Source organism: Homo sapiens, chromosome 5 (assembly GCF_000001405.40).
Source record: "Homo sapiens chromosome 5, GRCh38.p14 Primary Assembly".
In the NCBI taxonomy this organism is placed as follows: domain Eukaryota; kingdom Metazoa; phylum Chordata; class Mammalia; order Primates; family Hominidae; genus Homo; species Homo sapiens.
In genome coordinates, this window is record NC_000005.10 from 177,690,247 (window position 1) to 177,710,190 (window position 19,944).

The 19,944-nt window shown below is 45.4% G+C and overlaps 1 protein-coding gene and 1 long non-coding RNA gene across 9 annotated transcripts in view; one reads left to right on the forward strand and one right to left on the reverse strand.

Moving 5' to 3' along the window:
* The window catches only part of LOC107986489 (uncharacterized), a 57,699-nt gene that overhangs the window by 17,868 nt on the left and 19,887 nt on the right, over window positions 1-19,944 (forward strand). For 5 of the 7 annotated variants that reach the window (XR_001743020.2, XR_001743023.2, XR_001743022.2 and 2 more), the window contains exon 2: window positions 16,460-16,639. This is a non-coding gene — a long non-coding RNA (uncharacterized LOC107986489). Of the gene's footprint in view, window positions 1-4,097; window positions 4,194-16,459; window positions 16,640-19,944 lie in introns of those variants that run through there. The other 2 variants (XR_001743018.2, XR_001743024.2) reach the window with 1 other exon arrangement.
* The window catches only part of FAM153A (family with sequence similarity 153 member A), an 89,179-nt gene continuing 73,235 nt past the window's right edge, over window positions 4,001-19,944 (reverse strand). The window contains exon 29 of one of the 2 annotated variants that reach the window (XM_017009359.2): window positions 4,001-4,148. The gene's annotated coding sequence lies outside the window, so the exon portion shown is untranslated. Of the gene's footprint in view, window positions 4,149-17,719; window positions 17,837-19,944 lie in introns of those variants that run through there. The other variant, XM_017009358.2, reaches the window with a different exon arrangement.

Consider the following 19,944-nt stretch of genomic DNA (forward strand, 5'->3'; position numbering starts at 1 on the left):
GTGATGTCTTCTTAAGAGCAAACATTTTTTAAATGTTTCTGCAGTTTAATTTATCAGATTTTTCTTTATGCATTAGGCTTTTGAAGGACTCTGTCTAATCTGTCATGGGTGAGCAGTAACTATCTGGGGCTGGTGGTTTGGTGGTAAAAAGAGTTTACCAAGACAGTTGCAGGTAAAGAAAGGCAGATGTATCAGAGAAAGTAGGAAGATACATTGCAAGGAAGCAACAGGCAAGTTTGCAAGAGAGAAGCTAACTACAAGGAGACAAAGACTTGCTGGGGATTTTACAGGGTGATGCTTGTGCTGTGTGCTGAAGGGGTCTTTGTGCAGTATTGATAACACCGAGGTTCCAGTGAGCTAACCTGCAGTTTTCTGTCAGCCGAGGGTCTGTTGATAGGTGCAGGAAGACTGTGAGTTATTTGCCCAAGAGGGCTACGTGTCCTGCACCATGAAGAAAGGCAAACTTACAGCTTATCTGCCTTCTCTTTTTGCTTTCCCTTAGTCCCACCAGCCTGACTCCTTTTCCCTAATTAAGACTCTACATTTTCTTGCTGACAGAGCAATAGTGACAAATCTTTGTCATGTGGGTGAAGGTCTCATCTTCCAACTGCTTCCTGCTGACCAGGGGCATAGAGGTGGCCCTACCTAGGATTACTGGCCTGTTAGGAGGTTATATGGGCCTAAACCCCGGAGTTGGGACTTGAATTGGGCGGGGTGACTGTGGGACTATGGGGGAACAGCATTTATTTAGCAGCCTAAAATTTTGTCCTGCTGTGTTTAAAGGAGAGTTAATGGAGTACCCTTAATGGCTGATACCATTGCTGCAGTAACATTTTGGTTTGAAATTGTTGTATTCTAGAAGACACAAAATGAGACATTGCATTAACAATGAATGGTACAAATGAACTGCTATGAGCATTATTACAGGTGGGAGAAGTGGGGTCTGACAGATAAAGATTTCTAAATATTAATGGGATAAGGGAAAATTGAGAAAAAGATGTAGATGTATTAGTGAGGATGAGGAGTTGTCTAGTCTTGACCCCTATTCCTATATATTCCATCCCCATTGCTGAATTGTTTATAGGCATAAAGTCATCATCATCAATCTTGCAGGCATTAACTTTGTTGTTTCCCCGCAATAGAGAAAGCCTGTGGGCGTCCACAGTGAGCTGATCAGAGTCGTCATATGGCACCTGTTCCTGGTGTACCTGATTATAGTTGAGGGCAGAATTGCAATGCACTTGTGTTAAAGCCCCTAGGAAAGGGCCGAACCCCTTGGAGTTTCTAATGCAGAGGTTTGCCTTACAGGCCATCTCTGGTGCCTTCCCGATCCACTTTGTCATGGTGGATGATTGCCATGAGGCATCCATTGGCCTAGGTCCCCCTCTTAAACCTGCGTTTTTGGTGTGTGTGTAAGTGGTGTAGTCGAATCCAGACTATTGGGCTTGTATGTTAACAATTTCTTCTATAGATAGTGCAACAGCTAGGAAGGAGTGTAATGTCATCCTCAAGTGCCTGCTTGTGTGGGCATATTCAGCAGTCAGTATTGTGTGTTACGTTAGCAACTTGAGATATTACTGGGTAGAGTGGGTGCTTGGGTGCAGCCATTTGAGGCAGTAGCTAGCTATGATAGAGTAAAAACAGAATCATATTTAAGGAAAATGACAATATATGGTAAACTTAGGAAGGCAGGAAAGAAGATGGGCTGTAAAGAGTATGAGAAAAACAGTTAAATACTAGTACTTCAGCACATTGAAGTTGTGGTGTGGGGGTAAATAACATCACTAGGACAAATATAAAGAAGTTTCATCTGGGTGATAGTTTTGGAGGTTCCTCTGCAAATAGCAATCGTGTACTATCTCCCTTATAAAAGCATTAATATCAAGAGGGTGAAGCTGCTTAACAGGCAGTTGGAGAATTACTGAGATCCTGTGGTAGAACTGAATGCAAAGAGTTCGCTTTAAGAAGAAGATTTAGCCCAGCACGGTGGCTCATGCCTGTAATTCCAGCACTTTGGGAGGCTGACGCTGATGGAGCACTTGCAGCCAGGAGTTCGAGACCAGCCTGGCCAACATGGTGAAATCCCGTCTCTACTAAAAATACAAAAATTAGCTGGGCTTGGTGGCACATGCCTGTAATCACAGCTACTCAGGAGGCTGAGGCAGGAGAATCGCTTGAACCCAGGAGGTGGAGGTTGCAGTGAGCTGAGATGGTGCCACTGCACTCCAGCCTGGGTGACAGAGAGAGACTCTGTCTCAAAACAAGACAAAACAGATTTAAAAGAGGTGCTGGATTTATTTCCATCAACTTTAAGGGAGGTTAAAAAATTCTAGGTTGTTTGGTTTAACAAAACTTCTTTAACCTTTTTTTTTCTTAACTTTAAAAGAGTTTCCAGTGTTTACATTCTAGTTAGACCATAAATAATGAGTCTTATTTCAGCAGCAGCAGCTTAGTAACAGCAGTTCTAAAGCAGGAAGAAAAAGAGAGAGGAAAATCGAGAGCTTTAGAAGACTGTTTAACTCTGTAGTGCAAGTTAAATATTTGAGCTCTGAATTTTTTTTTTGTAATTTGCCCATTAGTTTAAAATGTGCACAAAAACAGCATAATATGTAAGCAGCTGGAGTTTTAAAGAGAACAATAAAATCAGGCTAGGATATTACAAACTGTTTTTTCCCATTTAAGGTTAGACTCCTGGATTGAACAGAAAAAGAGAAAAAGAAAAGAAAGGAATAGAGGAAAAGGTTAAGCTTTACAGGATGGCTTTTGAGCCTGCAGCCACTGGACAGCGCAGGGCAGCATCCCTACCCCTCTCGCTCATTTCCTATCAGGGAGAGCCTTAGCACCCCAGACCTACACAGTATGGGATGAATTCCTCCTACCTCCACAAGCCACCAGTTAAAGTGAGCTGTCTCCAGCGGGAGCAGAGAGCCCCTTCAGCTTAAGGCCATCAGGGGTCAGGATTCTGTTCCAGGGGCCCTTCGGTCCTCAGTGCAGTCCCTTTTCTAGCGGCCGAGCTCATGGGTTGGGGTAAGCCATGTGGGTTTTTTTCCCATTTATCCCATTAGGGCAGTTTGCCTGTTAGTGGCCTAGCCTTTTGTACCAATGACGGTTATTTGGAGGAGTGTTCTTAGGGAAACCTGGAGGGGGCTGAGGGCTTGTAAAGCAGCCAAGAGCTGAGCCTGCCTTTTGTCCCTGTGGTTTTCTTTCTTTTTAGCCCTGTCCTCCTTATTCTGCTTTTGGCTATGAAAGACTGAGGAGGCTAATTTGAGGATTTTCTGCACAGGGGCCATGCTGTATTACACAAGAAAATTAGACGTTTCTTCTTGAGAGTCTAAAGGTTAAATTTCTCCAGTGTTTTAGAATGCAGCCTAGAGGTGAGGCTAAAGGAATAGATGGGGTTTATCCCATGATGGGACTGGAAAACATGCTGCTTGGGTCTATTTGAACTGTGCATTCTCTCTGGATATCCTGCCAAGATGAAAAGGGCTCCACTTATGTCTGCTGAGGGACTCAGGGTACACTTTCTAAAGGGGCCTCCCACCGTTAGAAAAGACCTCTTGGCTGCTCAGGGGCTTTACAATCGGTGGCCAGTCCAGGTACTGACGCTGGGTGATCAGCCCAGGTATGAGGAAAAAGGGTAAAGGAAGAACTCAGCCTGGTGCCAGTCAGAAGAGCGGGCGGATAAGGGAAGACTCATTGTTCTGAGGCTGTCTGGATCACCTGATTTAGCAAAGTCCTGAACAAGATGGATAATTCAGAGTGAGAAAGAGAGGGTACGAGTCTTCTGCTGTCAGTTGTGTCACACATAGGGTTTAGGGACTTTTGACCAGAAAAGATAGGAGAGAGCTTTCCTTCCTGTTGGGCAGGGCACTCAGCCCTATTCACCCTTTGGCCTTCAGACAACACCAGAGAGTGGCCCTGGCCAGTTGCCATCAATTGTTGGATACTAGAAGCCAGCTGCTGGGAGACTGAAAAGTGAAAGTAAATTTAGGTCCTTCACCTGAACCTGGTGGTGGGTCAAACGCTTCCACATGGACACCTGTCAGTCCCACTGGAGTGTAGGTCTGGCCAGAGACCTTTAGTTGTCTCTGTGCTCAGATGTTGGCCACCAAGGATCACAAGTTGGGAAAGAGAATGGAGAGGATTCCCTGTAAGGAGAGAGAGTCCTTATATGGGCCACCAAAATGTCATGGGTGAGTGGTGACTATCTGGGGCTGGTGGCGTGATGGTTCAAAGAATTTACCAAGACAGTTGTAGGTTAAGAAAGGCTGATTTATTAGAGAAAGTAGGAAAATATGTTGCAAGGAAGCAATGGGCAAGTTAGCAAGTGTGGAGGTAACTGCAAGGAAACAAAGGCCTGCTGGGGATTTTATAGGATGGCGCTTGTGCTGTGTACTGAAGAGGGCTTTGTGTATACTGATAACACCAACGTTGCAGTGAACTAAATTGCATTTTTCTATCAGCTGAGGGTCTGGTGATAGCTGGGTGCAGGAAGATTGTGAGTTATTTGCTCAGGAGGGCTGTGTGTCCTGGACCATGAAGAAAGGAAAACTTATAGCTTATCTGCTTTTTCTTGTTGCTTTCCCTCAATCCCACCAGCCTGATTCCTTTTCCCTAATTAGGACTCCACATAATCCAGGGTCACAGGATTATTTTCTTCTAAACATTTTGTAATTTTAGGTTTTTTATTTTTTTGGAATGGAGTCTCACTTGGTTGCCCAGGCTGGAGTACAGTGGCATGAGCTCAGCTAACTGCAATCTCCACCTCCCGGGTTCAAGCAATTCTTATGCCTCAGCCTCCCAAGTACCTGGGACTATAGGCGCATGCCACCATGCCTGGCTAATTTTTGTATTTTTAGTAGAGATGGGGTTTTACCACATTGGCCAGGCTGGTCTTGAAGTCCTGACCTTGTGATCTGCCCACCTCAGCCTCCCAAAGTGCTGGGATTACAGGCGTGAGCCACTGCACCCTGCCTGTAATTTTAGTTCTTATATGTAGATCTGTGACTCTTTTTAAGCTATTTTTTTATTTATTGATCATTCTTGGGTGTTTCTCGGAGAGGCGGATGTGGCAGGATCATAGGATAATAGTGGAGAGAAGGTCAGCAGATAAACACGTGAACAAAGGTCTCTGGTTTTCCTAGGCAGAGGTCCCTGTGGCCTTCCGCAGTGTTTGTGTCCCTGGGTCCTTGAGATTAGGGAGTGGTGATGACACTTAACGAGCATGCTGCCTTCAGGCATCTGTTTAACAAAGCACATCTTGCACCGCCCTTAATCCATTTAACCCTGAGTTGACACAGCACATGTTTCAGAGAGCATGGGGTTCAGGGTAAGGTTATAGATTAACAGCATCCCAAGGCAGAAGAATTTTTCTTAGTACAGAACAAAATGGAGTCTCCTATGTCTACTTCTTTCTACACAGACACAGTAACAATCTGATCTCTTTCTTTTCCCCACATTTCCCCCTTTCTTTTAGACAAAACCACCATCATCATCATGGCCTGTTCTTGATGGTCGCTGTCTCTTCGGGGCTGTTGGGTACACCTCCCAGATGGGGCGGCCGGGCAGAGGCACTCCTCACTCCTAGATGGGGAGGCCGGGCAGAGGCACTCCTCACTTCCCAGATGATGGGCGGCCGGGCAGAGGCACTCCTCACTTCCCAGACAGGGTGGCCGGGCAGGGGCACTCCCCACTTCCCAGACGGGGTGGCGGCTGGGCAGAGGCACTCCCCACTTCCCAGACGGGGTGGCGGCTGGGCAGAGGCACTCCTCACTTCCTAGATGGGGCGGCCGGGCAGAGGCGCTCCTCACTTCCCAGATGATGGGCGGCCGGGCAGAGGCGCTCCTCACTTCCCAGACGGGGTGGCGGCTGGGCAGAGGCGCTCCTCACTTCCCAGACGGGGTGGCGGCTGGGCAGAGGCACTCCTCACTTCCTAGATGGGGCGGCCGGGCAGAGGCGCTCCTCACTTCCCAGATGATGGGTGGCCGGGCAGAGGCGCTCCTCACTTCCCAGACGGGGTGGCCAGGCAGGGGCACTCCCCACTTCCCAGACGGGGTGGCGGCCGGGCAGAGGCGCTCCTCACTTCCCAGATGGGCGGCCGGGCAGAGGCGCTCCTCAATTCCCAGGTGGGGCGGCTGGGCAGAGACGCTCCTCACTTCCCAGACGGGGCAGCCGGGCAGAGGTGCTCCTCACATCTCAGTTTTTGAGCTGTTTTTAATGACTAGTGTGAAGTACCTAAATTTATCTTTTTGCATGTGAATATTGTCCCACACCGTTTGTTGAAAATAATATTCTTTCCAGTTTGAATTTTTCTGGCAGCTTTGTTGAAAATCAGTTGGCCATAAATGTTGAGTTTATTTTTGAGCTCTCAATTCTGTTTAATTGATCTATATGTCAATCCCTATGCCAGTACACTCTCCTGATTTTTTTTTTTCTTTTTCTAGATAGTCTTGCTCTGTTGCCTAGGCTGGAGTACTGTGGTGTGATCATAGCTCACTACAGCCTTGAAGTCCTGGGCTCAAGTGATCCTCCCACCTCAACCTCCCAAGTAGCTGATACTATAAGCATGAGCCATCGTGCCCAGCCTGTCCTTATTTTTGTAGATTTATAATATGTTTTGAAATTAGGAACTGTAAGTCCTCCAACTTTGTTCTTTTTCAAAATTGTTTTGGCTATTCTAGGTTATTTGTATTTTCATATCAATTTTAGGATCAGCTTGTTAATTCCTGCAAAAAAGGCAGGTGGAATTTTGAAAGGATTGCATTGAAGCTATAGATCAATTTGGGGAGAATTGTCATCTTAACAAGATTGAGTTTTCCAATCCATAAATATGGATGTCCCCTCATTTATTTAAATCTTCTTTAATTTCTCTCAGCACCAGTTTTAGTGTATAAAAGTTTTATTGTATCAAAGAAGTGCATTTTTTGTAAAATTTATCCCTAAGCATTTTATTGTATTGATACTATTATGAATGGAATTATTTTTTAAATTTCATTTTTGAATTGTTCATTGCTGGTATATAGAAAAATAATCGATTTTTGTGTATTGATCTTATGTTTTGTGACCTTGCTGGAATTACGTATATCCTACTGTTTGTTTAGCTGGGTGGTTTTGCTGTCAGTGCTGGTGTTCCTAGTTCACTCAGAAGCCCCTTTGCTCTGATCCCGACAATTTCCAGTGCCATTTCTACTGTCAGTAATGAACCCACAATTGTCTGCAGACTGCACAGCCTCATCTGCAGCTGAGGCAGAGTCAGCCCTTTCTCCTTGTCCTGCTTTTCAGCAGGGTTGGAAATGCACAGTCTGGGATGCTTCTTACTGGGGATAGCCTGAGGTGCTGGAGGAGTCAGTGGTTGTCATTGGGCAGCAACCACTCTGGCTCTCTTCTGTACTTCAGCAGTCCTAGGATCTGGGTCCCCTGGTACCTGGGGGTTCTTAGATCTTGTTCCAAATCCCTACTCCAGCTCTCTGAGGATTGGGGGACTCTGCCTGGCACTGTAAATTTATAGAATGTACCTTCTTTTGACAAGATCTGTTTCTCTGGGGGAAGATCAGGGCTGGACACTTTTCCTACCTTGTTCCTGACTATTTTCTGACAGATTTCCTTAGTGTTCTATTCTGCAGCCAGTTCCCCCTGCCCCCGTCTTAGGACCTGAGTCCTTACTGTCCCCCATCTAAGTTGATACCAGCCTGTGGTTGTTGCTCCTCTTCTTTTCTGGGAGCTCCTGTGTTTTGGTCACTGGTAGCTGTGGCTGACATTTGGGCAGCTTTTTGTTTGGGAAGTTAGCAATTGTGTTCCTGAGGTAAGTAAGGCGGATGGGCAACTGTGGGCTCTCCCCAGGGCTGGGTATTAGCATTGCAAATATGGCTCTTTAGTTCTAGTTAGTAAGGTGATGCCCAGGAAGGGAAGGAATTGTGCCAACCAAGGAAAGGTTCTCATTTGTACTTTCCCATCCAGCAGGAGGTTTTCAAAACATAGCATCTGTCTTAAAAGGCTCTTGTGTGCTCTAATCATCATCATTACTTTTATAATCATGATGTGAATTTTTTAGTCACAAACTCAGGTGTGCAAACAGTATAGTTTTCTTCATTCTTAATACCTCATTAATTTCTGACTCTGCATTCTTGTTCTGCATAATGGCAGACAATGCCTGCCCTGTCCAGCTGAACCCATTCCTTTTGGGTGGCTTCACTGACAAACTTGGACACGGTCACTTCTCCAGATTCAGTGATGGCCTTTACTGGAGCCTGCTTCAGACTTGCTTATTGCCCTCTAAAAGAGTTTTGAAAATCTATATACCTCCTTTGTTGACATTTAAAGCTTTTTTTTATCGTAAGTTTAAATAGTTAAATACTAAGTTATTACATATATTGATGTTTAAAAAATAAACTGTCACTATTATCCCATACTTTCTTTTCTATTTATTTTTTTGAGACAGGGTCTTGCTCTGTCACCCAGGCTGGGGTGCAGTGGTGCGATCACGGCTTATTGCAGCCTTGACTTCCTGGGCTCGAGTGATCCTCCTGGCTCAGCATCCTGAGTAGCTGGGACCACAGCATGTGCCACCATGCCTGGCTAATTTTTGTATTTTTGGTAGAGATGGGCTTTCGCCATGTTGCCCAGGCTGGTCTTGAACTCCTGAACTCAAGTGATCTCCTGCCTCAGCTTCCCAAAGTGCTGGGATTACAGGTGTGAGCCACTGTGTGCTGCCACTTTTTAAAATTTAAACAATTTTTTTAGAGGCAGGGTCTCACTATATTCCCTAGGCTGGTCTCGAACTCCTGGGCTCAAGTAATCCTCCTACCTCAGCATCCCAAGTAGCTGGGTCTACAGGTACATGCTTCTGCACCTGGCTTACTATCCCATATTTTAAAATGTATCCAAAGAAATCTAAGTACCATAGCAATTTAAGTTCATTAAAAGTACCTTATATCCAATACTACTACATTACTTAGAGCTAAATTGATAGTTGTAAATGCCTATATTGAAAAGAAGAAAGATCTCAAATCAATAACTTAAACTTCCACTTTAAGAAACTGGAAAAGAAGATCAAACTACACTCAAAGCAAGCAGAAGGAAGGAAATATTAATGTGCAAAGTGGAAATAAATGAAATAGAGGTAGAAAAACAATGGAAAAAAATAAAGGAAACCAGAAGTTGGTTCTTTGAAAATATCAACAAAATTTACTTTTAGCTTTTAGCTAGCTAAAACTTTTAGCTAGGCTAATCAAGCATAGAGGAGAAAAGGTCCAAAATTACTAAAATTAGGAATGAGAGTGTAGATGTTACTACTGACCTTACAAAATAAAAAGAATTATAAGGGAATACTATGGACAACTGTGTCAAATTAGATAACTTAGATGAAATGAACAAGTTTCTAGAAACACACAAACTACTGAAATTGACTCAAGAAGAAGTGGAAAATCTGAAAGATGTATAACAAGAAAAGATATTGAATTAGTAATAAAAAATCCTTCCCCCACAAAAAAGCCCAGGGCCAGATGGCTTGACTGGTGAATTCTACCAAACATGTAAAGAGGAATTAATATTAATTGTTCATAAACTCTTCCATAAGCATAGAAGAGGAGGAAATACTTCCCAACTCCTTCTATGAGGCTAGTATTACCCAGATACCAAAGCCAGAAAAAAAAAAACACAAGAAGGAAAACTACCAACCAATATCTCCTATGAATTTAGATATAAAAATCCTTAACAAAAGCCTAGTGAACTGAATCTAGCAACATATAAAGGGATGATATATCATGACCATATGGGATTTATCCCAGGAATGCATGCAGTTTGTCCATCAGATGAAAATCAATATAATACACCATATTAATAGAATAAAGCACAAAACCCACATAATCATCTCAGTAACTTCAGATAAAGCATTTGATAAAATTCAAAATAAAAACAATGAATAAACTAGGAATAGGAGGGAACCTTCCCAACCCATGAAAGGGTATCTCTGAAAATCCACAGATAATTTCATGCTTTAGGGTAAAAGATTGAGAGCTTTCTCCCTAAAGTCAAGAACAAATACAAGGATGTTCACTCATTATTTCTATTAATATTGTATTGGAATTTCTAACCAGACAGGCTAGAAAAAGTATTAAAAGGCATCCAGATAGGAAAGGTGGAAGTAAAACTATGTTTGCAGATGACATGATCCTGAATATAGAAAATCCTAAGGCATCTACAAAAAAACTATGAGAGCTAATGAAGGAGTTCAGCAAGGTTTCAGGATACAGGACCAAAATACAAAACTCAGTTGTGGCTGGGCGTGGTAGCTCATGCCTGTAATCCCAGCACTTTGGGATGCTGAGGTAGGTGGATCACCTGAGGTAGGAGGTCAAGACCAGCCTGGCCAACATGGTGAAATGCCGTCTCTACTAAAAATATAAACATTAGCTGGGCATGGTGGCAGGCGCCTGTAATCCCAGCTACTCAGGAGGCTGAGGCAGGAGAATCACTTGAACCCAGGAGGCGGAGGTTACAGTGAGCCAAGATCACACCATTGCACTCCAGCCTGGGGCACAGAGCAAGACTCTGTCTCAAAACAAAACACCTCAGTTGCAGGATACAAGACCAATACACAAAAATCAGTTGTATTTCTATACCCTAGTAATGAACACTCAAAAATGAAATTAAGAAAACAATTCTGATAATGATTTGGATCCATGTCCCCACCTGAATCTCAGGTCGAATTATAATCCCCAGTGTTGGAAGTGGGGCCTGATGGGAGGTGAGTGGATCATAGTAGCATTTTCTCATGAATGGTTTAGTACAATCCCCTTGGTGGTGGTCTCGTGATAGTGAGTTCCCTTGAGATCTGTTTGTTTAAAAGTGTATAGTCCCTCCCCTCTCTCTGTCACTCCTGCTCCCACCATGTGAGATGCCTTGCTCTGCCTTTACCTTTTGCCATGATTGGAAGCTTCTCGAGGCCTCCCCAGAAGCAGAAGCCACTATGCTTCCTGTACAGCCTGTAAAATCATGAGTCAATTAAACCTCTTTTCTTTATAAATTACCCAGTCTATGCCAGGCATGGTGGCTCATGCCTGTAACCCCAGCACTTTGGGAGGCTGAGACAGGTGGATCACTTGAGGCTATGAGTAAATGACCAGCCTGGGCAACATAGTGAAACTTCATCTCTACTAACAATACAAAAAATCAACCAGCTGTGGTGGTGCACACCTATAATCCCAGCTACTTGGGTGGCTGAGGCACGAGTATTGCTTGAACCCAGGAGGTGGAGGTTGCAGTGAGCCAAGATCATGCCACTGCACTCCAGCCTGGGTGACAGAGTGAGACTGTCTCAAAAATAAATAGATAAATTTTAAAAAATAAATAAAATTACCTACTCTGAGGTATTTCTTTATAGCAATACAAGAACAGACTAATACAGAAAATTGGTACCAAGGAGTGGGGCATTACTGTAAAGATAGCTGAAAATGTGGAAGCAGCTTTGGAACTGGGTAACAGGCAGAGGTTGCAAGAATGTGGAGGGCTCAGAAAACGACAGGAAGATGAGGGAAAGCTTGGAACTTCTTAGAGACTGGTTGAATGGTTAGATCAAAATGCCAGTAGTGATGTGGACAGTGAAGGCCAGGCTGATGAGGTCTCAAATGCAAATGAGGAACTTGATGGGAACTGGAGCAAAGGTCACTTTTTTTTTTTTTTGAGACAGAGTCTTGCTCTGTGGCCCAGGCGGGAGTGCAGTGGCGCAATCTCGGCTCACTGCAAGCTCCGCCTCCCGGGTTCACGCCATTCTCCTGCCTCAGCCTCCCGAGTAGCTGGGACTACAGGCGCCCGCCATCACGCCCGGCTAATTTTTTTGTATTTTTAGTAGAGACGGGGTTTCACCGTGTTAGCCAGGATGGTCTCGATCTCCTGACCTCGTGATCCACCTGCCTCGGCCTCCCACAGTGCTGGGATTACAAGCGTGAGCCACCGCGCCTGGCCAAAGGTCACTTTTGTTATACCTTAGCAAAGAACCTGGGTGCATAGCTGCGTTGTGCCCCTGCCATAGGGATCTGTGGAACTTTGAACTTGAGAGTGATGATTTAGGCTATCTGGTGGAAGAAATTTCTAAGCAGCACAGCATTCAAGATGTGACCCAGTTGCTTCTAACAACCTACACTCATATGCATGAGCAAAGAAATGACCTAAAGTTGGAACTTATATTTAAAGGGGAAGCAGAGTGTAAAAGTTTGGAAATTTTGCAGCCTGGAAAGAAAAGGCCATTTTCAGGGGATGAATTCAAGCAGGCTGCAGAAATTTGCATACGTAAAAAGGTGCCAAGTGCTAATAGCCAAGACAATGGGGGAAAAGCATAGAAGACATTTCAGAGACCTTCACCATGGCCCCTCCCATCACAGACTCAGAGGCCTAGAAGGGAAGAATGGTTTTCTGGGCCAGACCTAGGGCTCCTGCTGTCCTGTGCAGCCTCGGGACACTGCTCCCTGCATCTCAGCCTAGCCATGGCTCAAACAGGCCCAGGTACAGCTTAGGCCACTGCTTCAGAGGGTGCAAGCCATAAGCCTTGGTGGCTTCCATGTGGTAATATGCCTGTGAGTTCAGAGTGCAAGAGTTGAGGCTTTGGAGACTCTGCCTGTATTTCAGAGGATGTATAGAAAAGCCTGAATGTCTAAGCAGAAGCCTCACTGCCCTAGTAGAGGTCCTCCATGAAGGCTCTGCCCCATGCAGCAGCATGGAGAACCTCTACCAGGGCAGTGAGGAGGGGAAATGTGGAGTTGGATTTCCCACGCAGAGTCCCCATTGGAACACTTCCTAGTGGAGCTGTGAGAAGAGATCCACCATCTTCCAGACCCCAGAATGGTAGATCCACCAGCAGCTTGCACTCTGTGCCTGGAAAAGCTGCAGGTACTCAAAACCAGCCCTTGAGAGTGGTGTCGGGGGCTGAGCCTTGCAAAGCCACAGGGGCAGAGTTGCCCAAGGCCTTGGGAGTCCACGCCTTCCATCAGTTGCCCTGGATGTGGGACATGGAGTCAAAGGAGATTATTTTGGAGTTTTAGGATTTAATGACTGCCCTGCTGGGTTTCAGACTTGCATGGGGCCTGTAGCCCCTTTGTTTTGGTTGATTTCTCCCTTTTGGAATGGGAATATTTACCTAATTCCTATACCTCAATTGTATCTTGGAAGTAACTAACTTGTTTTTGATTTTACAGACCTATAGGTGGAAGGAACTAGCCTTGTCTCAGATGAGACTTTGGACTTTGGACTTTTGAGTTAATGCTGGAATGAGTTAAGACTTTAGGGGACTGTTGGGAAGGCATGAAATGTGGAAAGGACCTGACATTGGGGACTGTCAAATTGTAATCCTCAATGTTTGAGGTCGGGCATGGTGGGGGGTGATTGGACCATGGAGGCGGTTTCTCTGTTTGAGGTCGGGCATGGTGGGGGGTGATTGGACCCTGGAGGCGGTTTCTCTGTTTGAGGTCGGGCATGGTGGGGGGTGATTGGACCATGGAGGCGGTTTCTCTGTTTGAGGTCGGGCATGGTGGGAGGTGATTGGACCCTGGAGGCGGTTTCTCTGTTTGAGGTCGGGCATGGTGGGGGGTGATTGGACCATGGAGGCGGTTTCTCTGTTTGAGGTCGGGCATGGTGGGAGGTGATTGGACCATGGAGGCGGTTTCTCTGTTTGAGGTCGGGCATGGTGGGAGGTGATTGGACCATGGAGGCGGTTTCTCTGTTTGAGGTCGGGCATGGTGGGGGGTGATTGGACCATGGAGGCGGTTTCTCTGTTTGAGGTCGGGCATGGTGGGGGGTGATTGGACCATGGAGGCGGTTTCTCTGTTTGAGGTCGGGCATGGTGGGGGGTGATTGGACCCTGGAGGCGGTTTCTCTGTTTGAGGTCGGGCATGGTGGGGGGTGATTGGACCCTGGAGGCGGTTTCTCTGTTTGAGGTCGGGCATGGTGGGAGGTGATTGGACCCTGGAGGCGGTTTCTCTGTTTGAGGTAGGGCATGGTGGGAGGTGATTGGACCCTGGAGGCGGTTTCTCTGTTTGAGGTCGGGCATGGTGGGAGGTGATTGGACCATGGAGGCGGTTTCTCTGTTTGAGGTCGGGCATGGTGGGAGGTGATTGGTCCATGGAGGCGGTTTCTCTGTTTGAGGTCGGGCATGGTGGGGGGTGATTGGACCATGGAGGCGGTTTCTCTGTTTGAGGTCGGGCATGGTGGGGGGTGATTGGACCATGGAGGCGGTTTCTCTGTTTGAGGTCGGGCATGGTGGGGGGTGATTGGACCATGGAGGCGGTTTCTCTGTTTGAGGTCGGGCATGGTGGGAGGTGATTGGACCATGGAGGCGGTTTCTCTGTTTGAGGTCGGGCATGGTGGGAGGTGATTGGATCATGGAGGCAGTTTCTCATGAATGGTTTAGCACTATCCCCGTGGTGCTGTTCTCATGATAGTGAGTGAGATCTCATGAGATCGGGTTGTTTAAAAGTATATAGGCCCCAGCCAGGTGCAGCGGCTCATGCCTCTGAGCACTTTGGGAGGCTGAGGCAGGTGGATTTTCTGAGCTCCGGAGTTCGAGACCAGCCTGGGCAACACACTGAAACCCCATCTCTACTAAAATACAAAAAATCAGCTGGACATGGTGGCGCTCACCTGTAGTCACAGCTACTTGGGGAGGCTGAGGCACGAGAGTTGCTTGAACCCGGGAGGTGGAGGGTGCAGTGAGCCAAGATCACACCACCGCACTCCAGCCTGGGTGACAGAGCGAGACTCCATCTCAAAAAAAAAAAAAATTATATAGACTGGGTGCGGTGGCTCACATTTGTAATCCCAGCACTCTGGGAGGCCGAGGTGGGTGGATCACTTGAGGTCTGGAGTTCAAAACCAGCCTGGCCAACATGGTGAAACCCTGTCTCTACTAAAAATACAAAAATTAGCTGAGCATGGTGGCATGTGCTTATAATCTCATCTACTCGGGAGGCTGTGGTGGGAGAATCACTTGAACCTGGCAGGCGGAGGTTGCAGTGAGCCAAGATCATGCCACTATACTCCAGCCAGAGTGACAGAGTGAGACTCCGTCTCAAACAAACAAAAGTATATGGCACCCCCACCCCCACCCCCTCTTCCTTCTGGTTTCACCATGTGAGATACCTCACTTCTCCTTTGCCTTCTGCCATGATTGGAAGCTTCCTGAGGCCTTCCCAGAAGCAGAAGCTGCTATGCTGCTTGTACAGACTGCAGAACCATGAGCCAATTAAACCTCTTGTCTTTATAAATTACTCAGTCTCAGGTATTTATTTATAGTAATGCAAGAATAGATTAACACATTCCATTTACAATAGCATCAAAAATAATAAAATGCTTAGGAATAAATTTAACAAAAGAAGTGTAAAACTTGTGCACTGAAAACTAGAAAACATTTTTCTTTTTCTTTTTCTTTTTTTTTTTTTTTTTTTTGAGATGAAGTCTTGCTTGTCACCCAGGCTGGAGTGCAGTGACATGATCTCGGCTCACTGCAACCTCTGCTTCCTGGGTTCAAGCCATTCTCCTGCCTCAGCCTCCCCAGTAGGTGAGATTACAGGTGCACACCACCATGCCCAGCTAATTTTTGTATTTTTAGTGGAGACGGGGTTTCACCATGTTGGCCAGGCTGGTCTTGAACTCCTGACCTCGTGATCTGCCCGCCTCGGCCTCCCAAAGTGCTGGGATTATAGGCGTGAGCCACCGCGCCCAGCCTAGAAAACATTTTTCAAAGAAACTAAAGAAGACCTAAGAAAGACATTTTGCATGCATGGATTGAAAGACTTAACGTTAATATGTCAGTGTTTCCCAAATTAATCTATAGATTCCACACAATCCCTGTCAAAAGACTTTTTTGTAGACAAGTGGACCCAGTAGAAATACAACAAACCCAATATAGTCAAAATAATCTTGAAAAAAAGAAAGAATATAGTTGGAAAAAATATGTTTTTTTTGTTGTTGTTGTTGTTTTTGAGACAGAGTCTTGCTCTGTCGCCCAGGCTAGAGTGCAGTGGCGCAGTCTCGGCTCACTGCAACCTCCACCTCCCAGGTCCACGCCATTCTCCTGCCTCAGCCTCCTGAGTAGCTGGGACTACAGGCACCTGCCACCAAGCCTGGCTACTTTTTTTTTGTATTTTTAGTAGAGGCAGGGTTTCACCGTGTTAGCCAGGATGGTCTCGATATCCTGACCTCGTGATCCACCCGCCTCGGCCTCCCAAAGTGCTGGGATTACAGGCGTGAGCCACTGCGCCCAGCCAAAAATACATTTATTAGAGTAACATGTAATTTTTAAGAGTAGTTTTAGACAAAACGTAGTTTTAGACAAATCAAGACAATTTTATTTATGGCACATGAAATTTCATAGTCTTGTGCATAACACTTTACAATGAGAACTTTTGTTAACCAGGACACACTATTTTCTATGTTAATTCTTCTGACACATAGATTTATGTTTCCCTCCTAGACTTTCTTGCAAAAATGCCTGTTTGGGATTCCTCAGAGTACAGACAAAAAGGAAGGCTTGATCAGCATGTGGTGGATCTGAAGATTCAAAGAGGTGCCACAGCTCAAAAGTAGACATTTTGGCAAATGTGAAGAAGTGAGATTCAATGAAGATGATAAGAAATGAAAGGTGTTACCAAAAGTGAGTATGTATAGCTGTGCTTGTCACACAAAGTAGGCTTTAAGTCAAAAAAGCACAAAAATAGAAAATAAAGGTCATTATAAAACGATAAAGAGATCAATTCAGCAAGAAGGTAGGACAGTTGTCAATGTAAACACCCTGACACAGGAGCCCCAGTTATTAAAGTAAGAGTTATTCGAGCAACAGACAGAGACAGACAATAATAGCTGGGGACTCCAACACCCACTTTCAGCAACAGACACACCCTCTAGGCAGAAAAGTAACAAAGACCAGACTGACTCCAAGAGAAGTCAAAGGGACCTCACAGGTAATTACAGAACATTTCACCCACCAACTGCAGAATGTGCATTCTTCTCATCAGCTCACAGAACATTCTCCAGGATAGACCACATTTTAGGCCACAAAACAAATCTCAAAAAAGCATTTAAAAAATGAAAATCATAGCAAGTATCTTCTCAGACCAAAGAGAAACGTTGGAAACTCTCCAGGTACATGGTATATAAATAATGGTAATGGTCAGTGAAAAAATCAAAAGGACAAAAACATTTCTTGGAAAAAAAAGGAAACGAGAGAAAAAATGCATATAGTAGGTGTTTTTGAAGTAAAAAATGCAGAACAATAAAATTCAAAGATACAATGAAAGAAACATTTTCTGAACTAAAAATTGATTTGAATATGTTTTCTTTCATTTGTAACAAAATGACTGGCAGGGAAAGGTGACGTCCCTGATTAAATAACTTTTTTTTTTGAGACGGAGTCTTACTCTGCCACCTAAGCAATTCTCCTACCTCAGCCTCCCGAGTAGCTGGGATTACAGTCATGCGCCACCACGCCCAGCTAATTTGCTGTATTTTTAGTAGAGATGGGGTTTCACCATGTTGGCCAGGCTGGTCTCAAACTCCTGACCTCAGGTGATCCACCCACCTCGGACTCCCAAAGTGCTGGGATTATAGGTCTGAGCCACCACACCCAGCCGATTAGATAGGCTTTTAAAGCCGCAGCAGAAGGGGCAGCAATGTCTGTAACCAGTGGCCAAACAGTATTAAACTCCTGGGTTGTTTTGGGAGGAGTCACTACAACTACAGCCCAACTACATTTATTATGCCAGATAACACAGTGCTGGGGGGACATACTGGAGTTGACAAGATCCCCTGGGGGCACAAGTGGCAATGGCTGTGCACCAGTGGCTGGATATTCCTGAAAAATGAAATAAACATAAACTGTGGTCACCCAAGAAGATGTAGAATTAGTGTACCAAAAAGCATTGATGAACATGGTCTGGCTCAACAGGAAAGCTGCAGGAATCATGTACACGTTCAATGCCCACGCAGCCATTGACATCACTGGTTTCAGGGTTTGGGAACAGGTACAGAATATGACCAGGCAGCAGAGGTGCTCTCTTTTTCATGGGCAGGCATGGTGGCTCATGCCTGTAATCCCAGCACTATGGGAGGCCGAGGCAGGCAGATCACCGGAGGTTGTGAGTTTGAGACCAGCCTGAGCAACATGGAGAAACTCTGTCTCTACTAAAAATACAGAAAATTAGCCAGGCGTGGTGGCACATGCCTGTAATCCCAGCTACTCGGGAGGCTGAAGTAGGAGAATCGCTTGAACCCGGGAGGCGGAGGTTGCGGTGAGCAGAGATCGTGCCATTGCACTCCAGCCTGGGCAACAAGAGCGAAACTCAGTCTCAAAATAAAAAATAAAATAAAAGTGCTTTCACATATGACAGGCATTACCAATAGTAGTGTCAAATAGCAGTTGGTGTCTTTTCATTTTATGTATGTTTATCATATAAGTCTGATCTTTTTTTAGTGTCTTGAATGGTTTTCTGGAAAGACGGTATTGGCAAGTGGCACAGGATGGTATCCCAGTTGTAAGAGGGTTGCATGATTCCTTTGTCTTTGATTTGAAAAGCCTAGTCTTGGACCGGGCTCAGTGGCTCACGCCTGTAATCCCAGCACTTTGGGAAGCCCAGGCAGGTGGATCACAAAGTCAAGAGATCGAGACCATTCTGGCCAACATGGTAAAACCCCGTCTCTACTAAAAACACAAAAAAATTAGACGGGAGTGGTGGTGGGTGCCTGTAGTCCCAGCGACTCGGGAGGCTGGGGCAGGAGAATCACTTGAACCCGGGGGGCAGAGGTTGCAATGAGCCGAGACTGCGCCACTGCACCCCAGCCTGGTGAGAGAGTGAGACTCCGTCTCAAAAAAAAAAAAAAAAAAAAAAAAAAAAAAAAAAAAAAAGAAAGAAAAGCCTAGTTTTGTCACTCAAGAGCATCTCACACCCAGGACATTTTCTAGTACTGCATTCTGTTCAACACGGTAACTGCTTCACTGCGTAAAAAACACTTTGAAGACAAAAAGGAATCTTTTTTTTTTTTTTTTTTTGTAGTCTTCCTGATATTTACAGTAATACTATTAACTATTTATTGACAGGAAAAACGAGATATTTGCAATGTGATGTAATTAGGATTTTTTTTTTTTTTTTTCCGAGATGAAGTCTCACTCTGTTGCCAGGGCTGGAGTGCAATGGCGCGATCTCGGCTCATTGCAACCTCCACCTTCCAGGTTCAAGCGATTCTCCTGCCTCAGCCTCCCGAATAGCTGGGATTACAGGCGCCCGCCACTACACCCAGCTAATTTTTTGTATTTTTAGAAGAGATGGGGTTTCACCATGTTTGCCAGGCTAGTCTCAAACTCCTGACCTCGTGATTCACCCGCCTCGGCCTCCCAAAGTGCTGGGATTACAGGCGTCAGCCACTGCGCCCGGCTGGGTTTTTTTTTTGTTTTTTTTTTTTTTTGACCAAGTTTTGCTCTTGTTGCTCGGGCCAGAGTGCGGTGGCACAATCTCAGCTCACTGCCACCTCTGCCTCCCGGGTTCAAGCGATTCTCCTGCCTCAGCCTCGCTAAGGAGCTGGGACTGCAGGCACCTGCCACCATGCCCGGCTAATTTTTATAGTGACAGGTTTTCGCCATGTTCGGCAGGCTGGTCTCCAACTCCTGACCTCAGTTGATCTGCCTATCTTGGCCTCCCAAAGTGCTGGAATTACAGGCATGAGCCACCGCGCCCAGCTGAAATTAGATGTTTTTTAGTGTAACAAGGAATTGCCTTCCAAAATGAAGTTCATGTATTATGCTCATTTGCAATATATAATTAACTGTGCAAAATGATTTTTAAATATAGTCAATAACAAAGATTGTTCTGTATATGGTAGTGTTTAATACCTTTTTTTTTTTTTCCCTGAGACGGAGTCTCACCTGTAGCCCAGGCTGGAGTGCAATAGCATGATCTCGGCTCACTG